This window comes from Homo sapiens, chromosome 8, assembly GCF_000001405.40.
Source record: "Homo sapiens chromosome 8, GRCh38.p14 Primary Assembly".
Taxonomy (NCBI): domain Eukaryota; kingdom Metazoa; phylum Chordata; class Mammalia; order Primates; family Hominidae; genus Homo; species Homo sapiens.
The window spans coordinates 104373124-104394110 of NC_000008.11; the positions used below are offsets into that span (position 1 = coordinate 104373124).

The 20987-nt window shown below is 41.1% G+C and overlaps 1 protein-coding gene across 7 annotated transcripts in view; it reads right to left on the bottom strand.

The window, feature by feature from the left end:
• The window catches only part of DPYS (dihydropyrimidinase), an 87625-nt gene continuing 72945 nt past the window's right edge, over positions 6308 to 20987 (bottom strand). For 4 of the 7 annotated variants that reach the window (XM_047421418.1, XM_006716518.4, NM_001385.3 and 1 more), the window contains 3 exons: positions 19661 to 19868; positions 8061 to 8191; positions 6308 to 6720 (listed from right to left, as the gene is read on the bottom strand). In XM_047421418.1, coding sequence (XP_047277374.1) covers positions 8075 to 8191; positions 19661 to 19868 — 325 coding nt within the window. In that variant the 3' untranslated portion in view covers positions 6308 to 6720; positions 8061 to 8074. Of the gene's footprint in view, positions 6721 to 8056; positions 8192 to 13737; positions 15249 to 19660; positions 19869 to 20987 lie in introns of those variants that run through there. The other 3 variants (XM_047421415.1, XM_011516903.4, XM_047421416.1) reach the window with 3 other exon arrangements.

The following is a 20987-nucleotide window of genomic DNA, read 5'->3' on the forward strand; positions in this document are numbered from 1 at the left end:
AAACAGGAGGACAATAGTCTATCGCTATTGACTGAAGGGTTTGTCTTTCAGTTTTAGTTTTGTAATTGTACTATTGAGCAGCAGTAGCCATCAGCTGTGACTCAGAGGAGACTAGAAGTTTCTAAGATGACATCAGATGGTTTCGTCCTGCTTTGATGTAGAGCAGTAAGGCAGTCAAGCTCAAAGAAATAATAGTAGCTATCATTGATTGAGGGCTTACTTTGTGCTCAGGGCAATGTTAATCGCTTATGTCTTAGTTAATTCTCTCCCAAACTCAGGGAGTAGGTATTATTATTCCCCCATTTCACAGATGAGACCCGTGAGGCTAAGCAAATGTAAGTAATTTGTCTAAGTTACATAAGTGGCAAGTGTCAGAGGGAAGTTTTGAACCCAGTCAGTTTGATTCTAGATTTTGTGCTTCGTATCCTTCCCTACACCACCAGCCACACCTCCTCCCATGGAGGTGAAGACAGGGAAGCTCAGAGCGGAGCTATAACTTGCACGAGCCCCACAGGCAAATGGTGCAGAGCCGGGACTAATGCCGGGTTCCTGGAGTCAAGCCCACACTGCATCATGGGAAGTGCCCCTGGCAGAGGCGCTGATGGTTATGGGATAGCCCAGGAACAGCGTGTCCTCATTGACTCTGCTTCAAGTTCAGTTTTTGGATGACTGGAGGGCTGGCGTGACCAGGCCCCCACTGGTCTGTGGCACTTTCTCAGCAGCAGAGCGACCCCCACCTGGAGAAGCAGCCCACTCAGAGGCCCTTGGCACCATGGGTCTCTCCCACCCACTGCTCGCCAGCCTCCATTTCCCACCTGTGCTCTTGTCTTTGGGTTCAAGAGGGAAAAACATCAAATTTGGATTCAATTCTCTTGAATAAGATGTTTAAAAGAAAACAAAACAACCAACCTTCAGGCTGCTCCAAGAGAGACATCCGTACCTGAATGCTAGATTTATCATAAGGAATCAAGTCTGATTCCATGATAACTGCCACTGATTTCAGAAAATCATTTCTTATGCTTTGGCTTTTTATGTATTAGTAATTGGAGAAAGTTTTTAGCAAGACTGTAGAGATGAGATGATACACTTTCACTGATACTGGCTTGGAAACTGTGTTTACTGAAATGGCTTAATATACCTTGGAAACTCCTTTCCGTGTCATCCTGTGTAGCCTGAAAACTTACAGTTAATGGATCTTTCTGTGCCTCAGTTTCACCATATATAAAGTGAGGATAATCTCAGTGCTTGCCTCATGTTGTTGTTGGAAGGATCACGTGAACTAATGTTTGCAGAGTGTTTGGGGCTCATTAGGTGAGCCCTTAATAATTGTGAGCTCCTGGTATTTTCTCCTGAGCTCTAATGATGTTCAGATTCTTTTTTCTCCCGAGCTCTAATGATGTACATCATTCAGGAGTGAGTTATTTCCAAAATCTTGATTAAGAGATACATTAGAGGGGTGATGTGAAGTCAAATGGACCAAAATTCATGTCCTGGGCCACCCACTGACCTGCTGAGTGCCTCTGGGCAATTACTTAACCTCTCTCAGCCTTCATTTTCTCATCTGTTAAATAATAACAATAATATAAAATAATAAAAATAATTTGTTAATAATAGTAGTAAAATAATAAATAATAATTTATTAATAATATTAATAAAATAATATATAATAAAATAATATTGCCCTCATAGGGCTGCAGAGACAATTAAATGATGGCATCTATACAGACCTTAGCACAAGTCTGGGCACCTAATAAGGGCCTAATAAATATTTTCATTAAGACTCTATTGAGCACATTTATAGGTTTTGTTAAAGAAAAAGCCAAGGTCCTATGTTCTTGTGAAGACTGCATCCTATTATAAGGCAAAAACAACAACAACAAAAAAAGAACCACTGCTTGAAAAAGCCCTGAATGCTTTCTCACTACTGCAGCTGGTTATGCAAGCTCACCTAAGCCCACAGAGTCTCAGAAGGCCACTCCCCAGTGCCATTTATATTTTTACAATCACCATTCACACTAGGATGGCTCTTAAGACAAATGGAGTCCTGAGCCCTGGACACAAATAATGATTTGTCATAGTGTTACTTTTTATTCATGAATTATTCCTCTCCTCCTCCTCTGTCATCTTCTGTTCCCAAGGTTAATTCATTCCCTCATCAAGGATTTACTGAGCACTTCTTTGTGCCACTCCCTGTGCAAGGCATTTGAGGAGCAGTGGCAGCCAAACTAAGGGGTTTGCTTCTGTGTTTTATAAACAGTCGGTGTTTAATAAATGATGGACGCTCTGTGTTTCTTTTTTTTTTAAATTTTAACTCGTGCACAGATATTCTCCAAAACGAAGTAAAGGGAGAAAGTTCATTTGTCAAAAATTAACCTAATTAAATATTTCCCTTCAGGGGGCTCTGTATTGGATAGATGGGAACGAAAAGAGTGGCAGTCGTGATGGGGCAAGAGAAAGAGACAAGGTTGAATCTGTCTACCACTGAGGGAGAGCTGGGGCTTTGCATGTGCCATCCCAATGTGTCCTTTCAACCATCCCGTGAAAGAGAGGTATGATTAATTACTCCTACTTTTTCAATAGAGAAACTGAGGCTCAGGAAGTTTACCTATCTTGCTCAACTGGTTCAAATCCAGCTCTTGTGACTTGAAAGCCTCTAACAAGCTCTTGATCATTCCCCTACAGGATGCTGCATCATGTAGAGAGAGAACGGAGAGAAAAGGGCCTGCCGTAGTTGGCCTGCATGCTGACATTGGGACCTGCTGCACCTGCGCGGGTCACTTGAGAGTGAGGCTCTACCCACTCCCGTATTTCAGTCTGTACTCCTTCTCAGACAGCTCACAATGCTAGTGCCTGGGACCCAGGCCCACTGACCCTCTCCAGGCCCGCCTGACGCCCTCACCCTGTGCCTGGGCTCACTCCTCCTTCCCATTCTTGGCTTCCATGCTTTTGCAGCTGTCAAAGGAGTTGGAACTACAAAGCATGGTGAACTTCCCCATAGAAAGAGAAGAACAGTCGACTTTGGCAGTCTCTTGGTAGCGTATCATTTATTAACTCACTGCATGGCTGTTAACACAGTAATCATAGCTAGCACTTGTTGACCATACAGTCTGGGCTTCGTAATCCTCATGGTGTCCTTGTATATTGGGCTGACACCCTTATCATTCTCCTCTTATAAATGAAAAAATGGAGGCTTAGAAAAATCAATTAATTTACACAATGAAAAGGAGCTCAGCCTCATTAGTGCTCAGGAAATGCAAATTCAAACTTCAATAAGATCCCTTTTACATGGATCAGAATGGCAAAATTAGTAAATTGGACAATATCTGCTATTGATGAGAATGTGGGGCAACAGAAACTCGTACACTCTCTTAATGAGGGCATAACTCACCACTTTGGAGGACAATTTGCCAGTATTTAAGTGAGGCGAGAAAGGGCCCACCTTAGGATTCACCAGTCCCACTCCCCTGTACTGAAGGCATGTGCCCTGGAGGAGCTGTCACATGTGTCCACGAGGAAACCGGCACAGAAATGCCTATGACAGTGTTGTTTGTGATAGCAAAAGAATGGAAACAATCTAAATGTTTATTAAACAAGAGAATACCAACATAGATTGTGGTATGGTTATTACCATGGAATCCTACATAGCAATAAAGTAAATAACCAGAGCTAGGCCTATGAAAACAACTCCCAAACATGTTGACTACAAAAAAGCAGGAATCAAGACAATACATACTATGTTGTGCATTTATAAGATTTAACCACATACAACAGCAGTCCCCAACCTTTTTGGCACCAGGGACTGGTTTCATGGAAGACAATTTTTCTACAGACCGGGGGTTGGGAGGGATGGTTTCTGGATAAAACTATCCCATTTCAGATCCTCAGGCATTAGATTCTCATAAGGAGCACATAACCTAGATCCCTTGCATGCACAGTTCACAATACGGTTCACACTATGAGAATCTAATGCTGCTGCTGATTTGAGGGAGGTGGAGCTCAGGCAGTAATGCTCGTCTGCTGCTCACCTCCTGCTGTGCACCAGTTCATGGCCCAAGGGTTGGAGACCCTGACATACAAAACAGTGGGGGGAGGGGAGAGGGATAGCATTAGGAGATAAACCTAATGTTAAATGATGAGTTAATGGGTGCAGCACACCAACATGGCACATGTATACATATGTAACAAACCTGCACGTTGTGCACATGTACCCTAAAACTTAAAGTATAATTAAAAAAAAAAGAAATATGTACATACATAGCAAAGGTATAGGCTGGGTGCAGTGGCTCATGCTTGTAATCCCAGCACTTTGGGAGGCCAAGGCAGGTGGATCACTTGAGGTCAGGAGTTTGAGACCAGCCTGGCCAACATGGTGAAATCCCATCTCTACTAAAAATACAAAAATTAGCTGGATGTGGTAGGGGAAGCCTATAATCCCAGCTACTCAGGAGGCTGAGGCACAAGAATCACTGGAACCTAGGAGGCGGAAGTTGCAGAGAGCTGAGATGGAGTCACTGCACTCAAGCCTGGGTGACAGGGCGACTCTGTCTCAAAAAAAAAGAAAAATGTATAAATGATGGACACTGGAATAAAACAGCAGATCAGGACACTGGCTACCTTGGGGAAGGAAGGGGCAAATCAGAGGGAGAGAAACACAGGGGACTTCAACTGTATTGGTAAAGTTTTATTTTCCACACTGGGTGATAGGTTCAGAGATGTGGTCATGTTAATTTTGATGCTTTTTATATATTTCAATAATCTCATATTTTAGTTTTAAAAATTTCTGAAGGCCTCATCGTTAGTAAATAGAGGAGCGAAGTTTAGGCCCCACCATGAATACATGGTTCCCTCCCAATCCATCACAGTACCTAGGGGAGGAGGGAGGCAATGGAAGGGGAATATGGAAAAAGAATGTTACTCATTCCACCTATTCTTTCTGCAGACCTTAAAAATGCAATTGTTTAGTGACAAATCTTTCATTGTATAGTGAGGCAGCCTTGAAAACTATGGTATTAAATATTAATAGCTTGAATCATGTTTTTCTGTTGCTTTATATTATTATTTAGACCTATCTTTCCATAAAAATATTGCGACAAAATCTAATAAAAGCAACAAAGGGATTTCCACATTCATTTCAAATGTCTTTATTGATGCAGAATCCTATAGCTATTTTATTCTCCCGAACAGATCTATCAAATAGATAATGACCTGTGCTCTCCATTTAAAGCAGCCTTACATGAAAATGTTCTACAAAGTTTGTCCCTATTTTGTTGAGAGTTCTCACTAACTTTATGAATTTGAGAACTGAACAGGAACTCCTTCACTTCCTCCCTTATCTGAATATTAATAAATATCCATTGAATACCCATCAATTGCATGGTACTCTGCTAGATGCTGGTGAAATAATAGTGAACCAGACAGGCCCTGTCCTGAAGAAGCTTTCAGTTTCCTAGAGGAGACAGACAAGTAGAACAGCTATTATAAGGCAACGAGATAAGGCACGGTGATGGGTGTATGCTGGGCCTCCTACGGAGGAGCATGTCAGATCTGGGTAAGGCTCTTAGTGGGGTGCTATTACAGCTAAATACCAAAGGATGAGTGGGAATTGACTTCTGGGTAAGAAAGCAATTTAAATATTTCTTTCGACAGGATTCAGTAGTCTTATTGTAGACTTTCCATTGTCAACCAAAGCAGAGAAGAGAAATAAATATTTTGAAGTATCTCTTAACCTGAGAAAAAAGAGCTGTAGTTTGATTGAACCAGAAGGATTTTCTTCAGATGCAGCTCACCGTCCTTTCTCTTTGTGCTCAAAACAAATCACAATTGGGTAAACTGAATTTCTACTACCCTTTGTTAAATGTGCAAATATACTCCTAAGTGAGTATGCTGGGGGCAGATGCACCTGCAAGGAGAGCATAATCGCCCCAATTTTATTCCATCTTTTAAAAATCCCTCTTGACCTAGTTACCTAGGAGAAGAAATCTAAGCTTAGTTTCTCTGCACACACAGAAGGATCATACCATAGACTAGGAAGTGTGGGGGAAGGAAGGTATTAAGGCAGCCTCTTTCAGCCATGCTGATTCCATTTAATTCCCTCAAATCTCGAATTCATCATTGTGATTGGATAATTTGCCTTGGACTTATTTTAAACTTGAGCATCTAATTTGATTAGGTGGGTTTTCCAAGACCAGATTTCCAAAAGTTGCTGAAGAGACGTGGCCAGGACTCATGCTCTCAAATGAAAACCAACCTCCTAGAATCCCAATCCCACTAGTTAGAAGGAGATACAAATAAATCAGATAATAAGGTATAAAATGAAGATCTCAATGTTTATTAATTACAATAAAAAGTAAAATCACAGAGCTATTTTAAAACTAATGTAACCATTTTTTTAAAAAAAGAAACTATTTAAACAAGAAAATGATTTTTAAAAATTCTAAGTAAGAAATCTAGTACAAGCAAAGATGACATTTTAAAGTATCATCAATGAATTTCCACACAGCCTTTCCATCACAATAATATAAATTTATACCTTCAATCTTATGCAGCAACAAAAACACAGTGAGAAAGACAGCAATTGCTTCTGAAAGAAAATCAAAGAAGCCTATAGTGGTGAATTTTTTCTAAAGGATCCTAGGGAGTTGAATAAGGCCTGCTTCTCCATGGGTTGACAATGTTTGGCTGTGAAGGGAATGGCAGCCTCCTTTCCTCTGATTTTTTTACCTTTGAAGAGAATGAAAGGAACTCACTGTAACATTCTCCCTCACAAAGAGATGCAGAATTCAAACCTAACCCCCAAGAAATGCTATAATCAAAGTAAACACTAATCCTGCTCCTATAAATGTCATTAATAGCATGTTATAGCATTGAATCGCATTCCTTTCTCTTGCTAATCTTTCCCTGAATTTTTAACAAAATCATCCTAGATTAGAAGAATAATTCTGGTCGTCTGAAAATGACAAAAATGTTGAGACTTTGGGCTAGATAGTCCTGTTAAAGACACAACATTCAATAATGAAAGAACATGGCATGTAGCACAGAGGGCTTTGCCATTCAAGCCCTCATTATCCAAATCCCTGCAGGAACAGGATTTATGCAGGGAATAAGAGGTTGTCAAAATGTGAAAAGGTGCAGTGCCTGAATATGTAGAAAACCAGACCGTTGTCAAACTGTGCCTCTCATTAACACAAATGTCTAACCAGGTCCATTAGGTCAACCTCTGGGGTTAAGTCTTGTGCAGATGGCCACGTGTTGAACTGTCTGAAAAGATATCACACGTTAAAAAAAAATTAAGAGCCTAGCAAAATTGCAAAACTGGCAAAACATGTAGATTTCATGAAGTCAGTGGAAGTGATATTAGGGAGATGCTAAAATTACAGCAAAGCCGCTGTTAAATGAGGATCTGAGAGAGCAGGACCAGAAGACAACTGAAGAAAGAAAATTGACAAGGATGATGATACGAGGCACTTCAGAAAAGAAAGATCTGCATGTCAAAAGACAGAGAAAACTGATGAAGTGCTCAAATACTTTTGCAAAAATGACTGTATCTGTAATATTATTCCCAAAACTAACTGTGAAATAATCAGATACTATCAAAGAATTTTTCTGAAGGATTATATCCCCTAAAGCAACATTTTATTCATTTTTCATTTATTCTAAATTTTAGAACACCGTTGTATTTACAATATGAAGATTCATTTCTCCAGATAAGGTCCTAATTCATTTGTAAATTTTGACCATGAAATTATACTCCCTGTCTTAAGTAGTTCCCTCTGTATGTTATCAGCCTCCTTAGTGCAACTTGCTCATAGTTGATTATCCAAGGCTGTATTGAATGTTTCCTAACATCTTAAAGAATGACTCTCTAGCAAGCCCAAGGCCTTCTACAATCTGGAAGGCTTATCTAAATGTTCTGCTTTGATCAATCTTCCCTTGGCTCAATTGTCCTTGAGTCTTGGATCACTGTGAAGCCTCTGACCTTGATCTCTTCAACCCTTATGAGGAGAGATGCTAATTTCATATGCTGTCATGCAGGAAGACTTTTCTTGCCTACAGTCCCTTACCGATGGCACACACTTCAGGGGTGGGCCTGTTTCCTGGTCCCTGCTGTGGCATCTTCTTTTGTCACTCTGGATTTCAGTGTGGCGACTTCTCCCTTATAGGGTGCACGCTCCACAGGGGTAGGTGTGCAAGTCTGAAAGAGAACATTTCATTTCTCTCTTGTGGTTTATTTTCTTGAGTTCAAAGTTAAGTGTAGCTCCCTTTATGAATTGCGAGAGCTTTAAAAAAAGAATCTTATAAATTTATCACGTGCCTCCCCATCCCCTTGGCCTTTCACGGAAATTCCTGGCAACCTTGAGAATCTGGATTGTCCCACTTTTTGTGGGTATTAATCTGCCTCAGACAGAGGCCCAGGGACACTCACTGGGGCCTCTGCCATATCCTCACGCCCTTCTGAGTCCCACAACTGTCTCCTGCTGTCCTTTCCAACATCCGACCTTTTCTTCTAGTTTCAGTCCTACTCACCTGAGTTTGCAGTGCTTCTTTGTACCTCTCCTAACACTCTCAGAGCAGTTGCTTCAGATTCTAGCAATTGGGTACGCTTTCCACTTTCCTGTCTCTGTGCATTATGGATCTTCCACAGAATCTCACCTCGTTGGTGACCGACTATGCAGCAGAACCCTCTGCTGGATTCAGCGAGAGCTGTCAGTGCTTGAGCAGAGTTTTGAAATCACACACACACACACACACACACACACACACATACACACAGACAAATAACAAATTATTGTGGGTCTCATTTTGACCACCCAAACTAATACATTGTAGTGATCAACAGTGTGACCTTTGAAGTGAGACAGATCTAAGTTAGAATTCTCCATTTGCCATTTACTACGCATAGGAAACTGACAAGTTAATTAATGCCTCCAGGCCTACTTCCTCATCCATGAAATGGGGGAAATAAACCTATCTCTCAGATAGTGGAGAATTTCCAGAGCCAAAGCATTTTCTTCATTCATTCAGCAGATATTTACTGAGCTCACACAGCCCCAGAGAGTACACCAAACACCGAGGATCCAACACAGAACAAGGCCCACAGCTCCTGCAGCCACAGAACTTGAAGCACTGCATCGGGTGTGCACTGAGTGCTCAGGAAATGGGGGGACTCCTGCCCTTCCCTCACCAGGCCAAGCCTCTGCTCACTTTCTGTATCTGTCTAAATGCTTTGCTGGACTTCCATTTTGGCTCACTGTCTACTCAGTCTTTGAGCCCTGTTCTCATCTTGAGGAACACAGACACCAGGAAATGAAGGGCCAGCCTCCCATTTCTACCACCTTGGACCACCACATCTGAAACCTTAAACTCACTAATACCCCACTCTCTGGCCACATCCTCCCTTTCAGGTCCTTGGTCCCTGTTTTTTTTTTTTTTTTTTCTTCTCCTGACTTGACTTTCCAAGCCAGACTGCCTGAATATCACTTAAACCTAGGGTGACTGTACAATTTATCATCCAAAGTAGGACACTTCTTAGCATGAAAAGGGCACTAAACATAATTAACGTAAGTATAATCCAGGCCCGTCTGAGCAAACCAAGATTTATGTCCTTCTTTCAGCTCGTTCCTGCCTATCACCTAGAGGGCTTGACTTCTCTCTGCTCCTCTTGGCATTCATACTCAGCAAAGCCGATGGTATATTTCAGTTCAATCTTCAGGCTCTTTTGCAGTGAGTGCCTCTGGAGCATGTGACCTAACTGAGCAGACTTTTGTGCCGCCTACTGTGTGCTGTGCAGCCCTCCTCAGATCCCATTCCGTCTCCCTCTTCCTACACCACTTCCTTGAACCTACACTACTTGCACTTTTCAGCTGTTCATTTTTTGTCTGTCCTGGACTCCGTCTTGGGAACTGACTGCCCATGCCAGTGGCTCAGGTGGGGCCATCACACACAGGGCCTGTCCTCCTCACTCAGAACAGGGCTTGCTCTACAGCCTGCTCTATCACCTAGAGGATGCTTCCCCAGAACCCAGCTTGCAGGCTCTGGGAGCAGGCACCACCCAGGCCAGGCACATCAGAATCCTTCCTGGTAGCTTCCGGTCAGGGCCATGCTTTTGCATGGGCTGGGCTGCCGCTTTCATTTTTGTGTAATTATCTGACTTCTCTTTTATCACTCAGCTCAGCTAATCATCAGTCTAGGAAGCTTTGGCCCTCTGTCCCCTATCCACTATCTTGCTTACCCCAGGTTTCTGGAATAATCTGTTCACTCGTCAGTCTCCCCCAGCAGACAGAGGGCCGGTGTGCTGCTCTCTTTCTTCATAACAAGCACTCAATAGATATGGGTAGAAGGGATTTTTGGGGAGGGAGCTATGAAGGGGGCTTCCCATCTAAGCCTGCTTTCTTCTTTTTGTGGTTTGGCCTGGCGTGGGCTGACTCCGTTTCTGTCAGGCTCTTTTGTTGTGCTGCATCATTTATCTGTTCTCCAGGCTGTACTTTTTTTTTTTTTTCGAGACAGAGTTTCACTCCATCACCCAAGCTGGAGCACAGTGGCACAATGTTGGCTCACTGCAAACTCCACCTCCTATGTGCACACGATTCTCATATCTCAGCCGCCCAAGTAGCTGGAATTACAGGCACACACCACCATGGCCAGCTAATTTTTGTATTTTTAGTAGAGACGGGATTTCGCCATCTTGGCCAGGCTGGTCTTGAACTCCTGACCTCAAGTCATCCACCTGCCTCAGTTTCCCAAAGTGCTGGGATTACAGGCGTGAGCCACTGAGCCTGGCCTGGGCTGTACTTTTTCTGTGGCTGGCTGTCTACAAACTGCTTTCTGGCTGTTCAGTCATGGAGCCAGCCATGTCTGGCTTGTCACCCTGGTCACGCTGACCATCACATGTCTCTGACCCGACTGGCTGGGTCTAACCTGCACCCTCTCTCTCTCTTGCCTGCCTCTGAGGCTCTGGGTGGGCCAGGTCTGCTTTCCTCTCAGAATGGCCATGGATGGGAGCCACACCTGCGTGCACGGCCACCTCAGAAACAAGCAGCCTCCTGTCAGGAGTCCTGTGCTGTCTCACTCTCCACAGTCTTTCCTTTTGATAGATAAGTTGACAGAAATCAAAGACAACTTAAGTTCTACTCTCAAGCCTCTCAGCCCTTTTAACCTTTTAATATTTGCTCATCCTTAGAATTGGGTTACATAAGCTCTATGATGGCTAGACTCATGCCTTCTTCATCTTTGTGCTGTCTGTCACTTCTGGCATTGTTCTCTGGGCATGTTTTAGGACATCACTAGATGTTCACTGTGACAAAATGGAAAAGTGATGGCACTCCTTCTGCAGAATCTGAAACCATCACTGCTGTTATTCAGAAGTTCAGCTGCACATTTGTTTTCTAAGTAGACTTAACCTCCAACTCTTAGCAATCCTTGTCTTATTCCTTCTCTCTAATGATGATGGCAAACCTCTGTCCGAAGTAGGAACTGCCCAGCCTGACACAGACCCCAGCATATGGCAGAGCCATTGCTTAATGCATGTAGTTGACACTAGCAGTCAGGGTCAAAATAAAGTGAGCCTCTTTCTCTGGCATCCCAGATGAATATGGTGATAATAAAGACTCCATCCCTATTCTCCTGGCTAAAAGCATACCTAATTCTTACAGGACATTTATGCAGCATAAAACACATAGAAAAACCAGGATGAGGAAACAGAGTACTCTGGATTGAACAAAGACAGCAGGTTTCTTTTCTCGCCTTCTGGGACTCCATGTTCTCCTGATGGTCTTCCTGCATCACTGGTCAGCCTTCTCAGACTCCACTGATGCTTGCTCTTCTCCTCCACCTCTGAAGGTTGGTGGGCCCAGAGCTCTATCTTAAGCCCCCTTTCTTCTCTAATATAGTTTCCTTGGTGACCTTAAGACTCACGGTTTTAAATCTATATGTTATGGCTCCCAAATTTTATCTCCAGCTTTGATGTCTCTTGATCTCCAGACTCCTTTATCTCCTTTGTGCTCATTAGCTACAGCACAAAGAGGTGTAAAATTGCTCAAACACAACTATAACTTAAGCACCATGAACCACAGTTTGAAACAAGTAGAATATAAGCTCTTTGTGATCAGACTGGCTGTCTTATTAATGCCTATATCCTCAGCATCTAGAATGGTGCCTGGTGATCTACAAACATTTATTAAATGAAGGGAGATTTCTTGACTATAGGACTTCTTGAAACTTTTTATGATATTGGGCAATTGTATCACCTGAGGGTAACATCATCTAAAATTATTTGACAACTTTCTCAAGGAATACTTCAAGAGACTCAAGTCCTGAGAACACACTGTTGGAAGGCTAATTTGATTATGGTATTTTTTCCCCCCAGTACATGCTGGTCAAGATTAGATGATCACACCTTGACAGCAATTCTTTCCATCTTGATGGTATCACAATCAAATAAAATGGCTTGAGGGTAAAACCACATGAGAGGCTGTTGCTGTGGTTTGAATGTTTGTCCCCTCTCAAACTCATGTTAAAATTTAATTGCCATTGTAACAGTATTAAGAGGTGAGACTTTTGAGAGATGGTTAGGCCATGAGGGCTCTGCCTTTATGAATGGATTAATGCTGTTATCTTAGGAGTGCATTCCTTATAAAATGACAAGTTTGGCCCCTTTGGCTCTCTCCCTTCTTCTCTCTTTGCCCTTCTGCCATGTGATGCCTTCCTCCATGGGATGACACAGCAAGAAGGCCCTCTCTAGATGCCAGCGCCTCGTTCTTGGACTTCATAGCATCCTGAAATGTCAGCCAATAAATGTCTGTTCATTATAAATTAACCAGCCTCAGATATTCTGTTATAGCAGCAAGCACAAAAAATAAGTAATACAAAAGACATAGGTGGCACCTCACCTAGCAGGACATCGGTGGTTTACTTTGGTAAATGAGAATTGAACTTGAGTTCTCAGTATTTGATGATACTTGTCATTGTGACAAATTAATAGAGAGACAGAAATGAAAATTATATAATTTGTGGTTCTATAAATAAACATTAATTCCAATTATCATTACACTTTCATAACTGCAGAAATGCCTTTTGGTTACATGACCAAGGAAAAAGGAAGACATAAGTTGATAGTAAATTTAATCATATTGGGCTGGGCATGGTGGCTCACACCTATAATCCAAGCACTTTGGGAGGCTGAGGGAGGCTGATCACTTGAGGTCAGGAGTTCAAGACCAGCCTGGTCAACATGGTGAAACCCCGTCTCTACTAAAAATACAAAAATTATCCAGGTGTGGTGGCCTACGCCTGTAGTCCCAGCTACTTGGGAGGCTGAGGCAGGAGAATTGCTTGAACCCAGGAGGTGGAGGTTGCAGTGAGCCAAGATCATCCCACTGCACTCTAGTCTGGGCAACTGAGTGAGACTCTTAAAAAAAAAAAAAGAAAAGAAAAAGAAAATTTAATCATATTGACTGCTGAGGATGGAATGTGCTGGGATGCTAGATTTTCTTTTTTTTTTTCTTTTTATTTATTTATTTATTTTTTTGAGACAGAGCCTCACTCTGCTGCTCAGGCTAGAGTACAGTGGTACGATCTCAGCTCACTGCAACCTCCGCCTTCTGAGTTCAAATGATTCTTCTGCCTTAGCCTCCCAAGAAACTGGGATTATAGACATGCACTACCACTCACGGCTAATTTTTGCATTTTTAGTAGAAAGGGGGTTTCACCATGTTGGCCAGGCTAGTCTTGAACTCCTGACCTCAGGTGATCCACCCGCTTCAGCATCCCAAAGTGCTGGGATTACAGGTGTGAGCCACCACGCCTGGCTGGATGCTAGATTTTCTGAAATTAGCAAGATCAACAGAGAAGAATCCCAAAGGTATTAATGATTGAATGCTGTTCATGGAGGCTAAGATACTAAAATATCAATAAAGACAACAGAACTTCCAAATACCAAACAGCAGATGCTGGGTCAACAGCAAGCAGACCAAATGAACAGTGACTCCCTGAGAATGAAATCCACGCCTGGCCTGGTGAATGTAGAGGGCACTCAGCACACATTGAACTGAGCTACCCAGGGCTCTGTGAATCACTTGTACATGAGAAAGCCCTAGGTGCAACAGAGGTGATCTATAACAATGAAGATTGGCATTTTGATGATGTTTACAATTTACCAAATATCTCAATTTAATCCTTAAAATATCCTGGCTGGAGTGGGAGAGGGAAAGATTTTGAAGCAATAAATAAATAAATAAACAAACAAACAAACAAAATGCTGTGAGCTACAAAGCTGGGCTGTCTCATTTCAGGGCTGGCTCCTCTGGTAAATTTGCCAGTCCGAGAGGAAGTGAACCCTCTGTGCAGAGGGGAGACTGAGGGAGCGATATCATAAGGATGGGGGAATGGGTGGCTATTTGTTTGAGTAGGGATTAAAGTTTATGGTTAGGATACTGCAGTGATACAAGTTAAAGGGATTGGCTTTGGAGGTAGACAAACCTGGGTTTGAGTCCCAACACTGCCACTTGGTAACTATGTGAGCTCCCTGAGCCTCTATTTCTTAATATATGAAATAGGAATATCACTACTTACCTCCAAGGGTTGTTGAAAGAATTAAAGTGTGCTTGGAACATAACTGGTGATCAATAAATATTTACTGAACGGATGTTGATTGATTAGATAAAGCATGAAAAAGAGTACTTAGAAAGTGTCCTGTGTGTAGTGATGTGTTGGTAAATATTAACAACTATCTCTACCTTCCTTTTTCCTCACCATCCTTAAAGCCCTAACTTAAAGCACCTGCCTATTTCTGTGGTGTAAATACTCCTTCTCTGGCTGTTTTCAAGCTACCAAACTGACACCACTGAATGAAGAGTTGGGCACAGATGCGTACATATGTCTCTTGTGAGCCAAAATGAGCCAACTCCAGCATGTGTATTACCTTGTATTGGTAGTGATTAACCTGAAGAAATTAGGATTATATGGCAAGTGATATGTCTTAAATTATTTTCTCTGAGCTACCACCTTGAGAAAGACATTGACAAATGGTTATTTCAGAAATGGAGAATACCCATCTCAAGGACCAAAGCAGCCATCCACTCAATTTTATCTTATCTACAAGGCAAATTATGCTTATCATTGCAAAGATACAACCCAGTTTAAAAGCTTTGGCAGCAGTATTCTGAAACCATACATCACTCCATGAAGCTATTCCTGTTTCTCTATAAAATGCAATGTGATCCTGATTTTCCAGAAAAGGTTGGGGTTCCCTATTACTGAAAAAAAAAGAGAAAAACAGATGACTTAACAAATGTCTGTACTTTCACATTTTGTTGGAACTTATAACACTCTAAACACACAAAAATTCAAGAAACGTAATCCATTTTAACTTAAAGAGCTATATATTTTTTGTAAACAATTAATAATATGTAGTTTTGCTCAGTCAGGATTCTCTTGAACATCCAAGTTGCTCTTACATTTTTCCCCTCCCTCTTTTCTTTTGCTTTTCTTTCCTTAAACAACTTTTATATGAAGTTGAAGTTGAAATATATTCTATTATGTTATATTTATCAAATAAAGTTTGATGGCTTATCTTCTGATTCAATATTTTCCCTTAGGATCAGCTGTCTACATTTTAAAATACATAAATTAACAATTCTCCAAAGCTGTCAAATCAGATAAAAACGTCTTCTCTTTCCTTTGAAATTTCCCAAAAGATCCAGTAACAGTAATAGCTGCATGGTATGGTGTTGACAAATTTTATTATTATGCAATAAAATCATAGATAAAAATCAAGCTCTCACAAGATAATCCCACTATTTGAAATAAGGCAGGGGTAATCTGCTGGGTAAATTTAGTTAAATTTCCTTCTACGCATCTCTGAAACTATAGCTTTTGCTCCTTCTGTGTGCAGTTTATTCATTTACCAGATGCCACCTATGTACCAAGTACTGGCAAAAAAGAATAAGATGCTGCTCTGAAGGAACTAACTCTAGCCAGGAGACCAGCTGAGTTCAGGGACTGACAAATGCTGATGTGACTCTGTACTCTGTGCTTTGGGAGTCCAGAATAGGAAGTGATTAATTTTCTTGGTAGGGACAACAGATAAGCAAAGAAATAGCATTTGCTATTCCTGCTTGCCCTCAAACTCTTATCCCCACTCACAAAGAAATCTGAATATTTGAAATGAAAACCAAAGCAAGGACTTTGATAACCTCATGTGAATTTAAAAATCTAGAGTTTTTATGATTCTTTTTCTTAACCTTCATGTGATATTTTTATCCTGTAAGTTGTCTTTGCCTAATGCCATAGGGAACCATCTCCAGACAGTTCCCAAACCTCATTTCATTTTATCCATTTTATTTAATATCTTTTCCACACCAACATTTTTTGAATAAGGCATTTCTCCATGATTTGGGTTTCATGACTATTTTCTTCCTTTTATTTTTTTTTTTTTGTCTCTACAGAGGTCCAGTGGTACAGTGGGAATCAAAAAGACCTTATCACAAATCCTGGCTCTTAGGTTTACTTAATGCTTAACCTAGGGAAAGTTACTTAATCCTACTGAGACTCAGCTTTCTATTCTGTAAAATGGGAACAATAATACCTACCACTTGGCTTGCTTTATGGATTAAGTAAAATAATGAATATAAACCACTTAGTACAGAGCTTGGCAGATAGTGCTCAAAACAGCACATGATAACTATCATTTATTGGTATTTTTAAAACAATGATGCACTAAAATGCCTAAAAATTTGATACCAGAAAAAAATACTAAGAAACTAAAATAATTCACAGAATTGATAGTGAACTCATAAAAATTTCAGTTGGCATTAATTCTGCCAAAAAAATCACAAAACAATTTGCAAAGGAGAACTGATGAAACCAGTGATTTGATGATCTCTGCTGCCTCAAAACGTTTTCTCTACAAGAAGACTAAGGCAAAGCCAAGCATTTAAATATGGTCTATCAGGGTTCCCTGTTAGTCTAGCGCCCCTTCTGGAAGCAACTGGAACTGATGCCAAGATTGGCCCTACCTTGGATCCACTTCAGGCGTCACATAATCTATCATCCAGTTCTATTGATTTTACTACTTTATAATATCCTAAATCCACCCTCTATGTTCATCTCCTAGATTACTGCTACAGTCTCATGAATGCAGCAGCTGCCATCAGTGCCTCCAACTTAATTTTTTCCTTGAGAGACTTTACAAAACAAACGCTGAGTAACTTATCCTTCATTACTTCATTTAACTCAATGTTTATAATTTACAGCATCTATTATTACTTAAGGATAAAGTTTTTGGAATCATATAAGCAGGGTTTATGTCCTGGCTCTGCCATACACTTGCTTGTGTGACTTGGACAAATTTCTTAATTTCTTGAAGCTTCAGTTCTCTTTAACTTTTTTTTTTTTTTTTAAGACAGAGTCTCACTCTGTCGCCCAGGCTGGAGTGCAGTGGTGTGATCTTGGCTCACTGCAACCTCCACCTCCCAGGTTCAAGCTATTCTCGTGCCTCAGCCTCCTAAGTAGCTGGGACTACAGGGGTGCGCTGCCACGCCCAACTAATTTTTTGCATTTTTAGTAGAGATGGGGTTTTGCCATGTTGCCCAGGCTGGTCTTGAACTACTGAGCTCAGGCAATCTGTTTGCCTCAGCCTCCCAAACTGCTAGGATTACAGGTGTGAACCACCACACCTGGCCAGTTCTCTAATTTTAAGTGAAAAAAATACCTCCCTCCCTCCCAGGGTTATTATAGTGACAGAGACCTTAGCAGTGTGTCTTGCATTCAGTAAGCACTCACTAAATGTTAGTGCTGCTGTTATTTATCACATACATCTTCAGAAACACCGAGGATCCTAGGATTCTTATAGTTACCACCTACTTGTCACCCATTAATGTTAACATTTATAAACTAACTCCCCAGAAATATTAACTGTAACCTTAAACCACCTATTTTGACTGAGCATATAAATACAGCATATAAAGAACTGCAGTTTTCTGAGAATTTAAAGCACGTGAGAAAACTTGTTTACCTAATCAAAGCCTTAGGAAGTGTTTAAAAATGGATAAATCTTGCATAATGGACTCTGAGAATCCACAAGTAAAAATTTTTCATAAGACATTAAAGGAGAAACCAAAGCCTCTACAAGATCCAAATGAATTGAATCAAAAAAACAGCCAGAGAGCTCTGGAAAAGGAGAGGTACATTTGAAAAATGGAAAGAAGAGGGAGAAGCCTTAGAACTAGTCCAAGGGTGGCAAACACTACCATCTACATGGCCAGGCAAGTAATGTGTGAAGCCTTCTGGGTGAAAACCAGAAATACCTCCTAGCTAGGGGCCTGCCATCTAGCTCTGGCCCATTGGACCCATGTGGGATTGAGGACACAGGGTTGCCTCCCCGGCCCCCATATCCAGAAATTTAGATTTTTTAAATCTAAAATTCTCAAATATTTTAGTGTATTTGGTGTAGTAAAATTTTAAAACTATTTCAAACTCTGTGTGAACTAAACAAAACTTGTGTGAAAGCCCCAATATCTCTTTTATAATAACAGGGGTCTTTGATAGAGATTTGGTCATCAAAAGGGGAAAGCAAAGAGACAAAAGTGACATTTATTGACCTCCTACCAACCTGTTGCCCAGGCTGGAGTGCACTGGTATGGCTGGCTAATTATTTTTTATTTTTAAATTTTTTGTAGAGATGGGGTCTCACTCTGTTGTCCAGGCTGTTCTCAAACTCCTGGCCTCAAGTGATTCTCCCACCTCTGCCTCTCAAAGGGCTGGGATTACAGGTGTGGTGAGCTACTGCTTTGGGCCATGCCTTTCATTTAAAAAAAAACCCATTTGAGTGTCACAATTTGTTAGGAAGGAAACATTGTTGTCATTTTCCAGATGAGGGAATTGAGCCCAAGGAGGATCGAGAAACTTGCTCAAGGCAACACAGCTAGGAAATGGTGGCGAGGGCAAGAGAGAATTTAGGTCTTCTCCAGCCCAAAACTCCACCATTGCTCTGGTGGTCATAAAAACTGACCTTGCAGATCTTCAACTAATGGGAGCACATTTTTTCAAGGGGCTGCTGCTGACCTCTGAACTTCATTACACTTTTACACAGAGGTCACACCTCCCACAGTGGCTCTCAGCCAATGACTGGGCCTGGCCTGTAGCTGGGAGATCTGAGACTTGGCTCAAGGACTCCCTGACGGCCTTTTTCAGCCTCCCCTAGACTGTAGGGTGTTCCAGGATGCTCCTACCCATTTTATCTCTTTCTTTTCTTTACTGGTTTCAGACTTAACTTGCAATCTGAGGGCTCTCCCAATCTTTTCCAGCCACCTCCTAGTTTCTTTCACAGGTGTTTCCCCTAATAAAACTCATACACCTTTATCCATCTTGGTGTCTGCCTCTTGGAGGACCCTGACTAACACAATTGCCAAAAGCCCCCACCAGATTACCCCACAATCTGGAAATCCCGAACTGACCTATCAGTCTGCAAGGGGAAATGCGTGCATCCAATAATGATCCTTTATCTAAAAACTGGCATCTCTAATCTCTCATATCAATCCTGACACCCCAGGAATACATTAAACCAAGTGTGATGTGTCAACACCACTACTACCAACAATAACCAGCCAGACATCCAGAAGCAGGAGACAGTCCGACTTGTGGCAGTATCCCACTGTGGCACACTCACCCGGTCTCGCTGCTTTATTCGTTTGTAAATATATTCAGCAAATGGTTTTCGAGGAATAAACTTCCCATCTCCTGCCGTGACACTGAACACTCCGGCTTCATATACCACTTTGCCTCTTGAAATAGTCACAAGGGGCACCCCGTGGCAAACCATGCCCTCGAAAATGTTGAAGTTAACAGCCTGATGATGAGTTTTTGCTGAGATAGTCCTATATTTGTGAAAACAACAAAAAAGTTCTGGATCATCACCAGCTCACTTGATAAATATAAAATATTAAAAGAAGAATGACTTAGAAGAAAACTTAGCAACTCTATTAAGTCATAGCTTCATCACTGTAACAAGTAACTTTAAGAATAGAACATAACATTAACATTTCATTACAAAGTAATTACATTTTTCTGAGAGAAAAACCCAAGAGATCACTCTTTAAGGTGATTAATGAGGGTGGAGTGAGTGGAAGGAGGGCATTGTCTTTTATGTTCAGATTTTAAAATTATTTTTATTTATATGTTAACAACACATTTTTTCATTTTTAAATTATAAAATATTTTTAAACGCAGATGACTGATGAACACACTGACCCTATATCCAGCTCTATGAAATTTTAACTTTTTATAGATACAATGGGGGCTTCTTCAATACCCCTTCCCAAATCCCATGCCCGTTCCTGCCTTCCCAAAGGAAATAGCTATTTGGTAGTTATCAAATTGGACTTGGTAGTTATCAAGGAAAAGTATGTATGGAATTTCTTTCATTGTCTGTAGCAAAACTAGAAATTTGAAGATAACAGAAATAATAAAATACGTTGGAATATAATCTCTTAGCATATTCTGTGTCATACATTTGTCATCATTCTCAGTAGTTTATTAATACTTTTCAATCCTACATAATACGATTGATGACTTTCAGGCTGGGTATTTGAAAATGCTACATGCCTCCTTTCCTTAAATCTCATTAAATGGAAAAGAAAAAAATCTGGCAGCAGTGACTAATATGAGCATAATCTGAGTCCTTTTTTTCTTTAAAATGTTTTATTTCCATAGGCTTTTGGGGAACAGGTGGTATTTGGTTACGTGAGTAAGTTCTTTAGTGGTGATTTGTGAGATTTTGGTGCACCCATCACCCAAACAGTGTACGCTGAACCCAATGTATAGTCTTTTATCCCTCACCCCTTCCCACCCTTTCCCGCTGAGTCCCCAAAGTCCATGGTGCTATTCTTATGCCTTTGCATCCTCATAGCTTTGCTCCCACTTATGAGTGAGAACATACAATGTTTGGTTTTCCATTCCTGAGTTACTTCACTTAGAATAATAGCATACTCTAAATT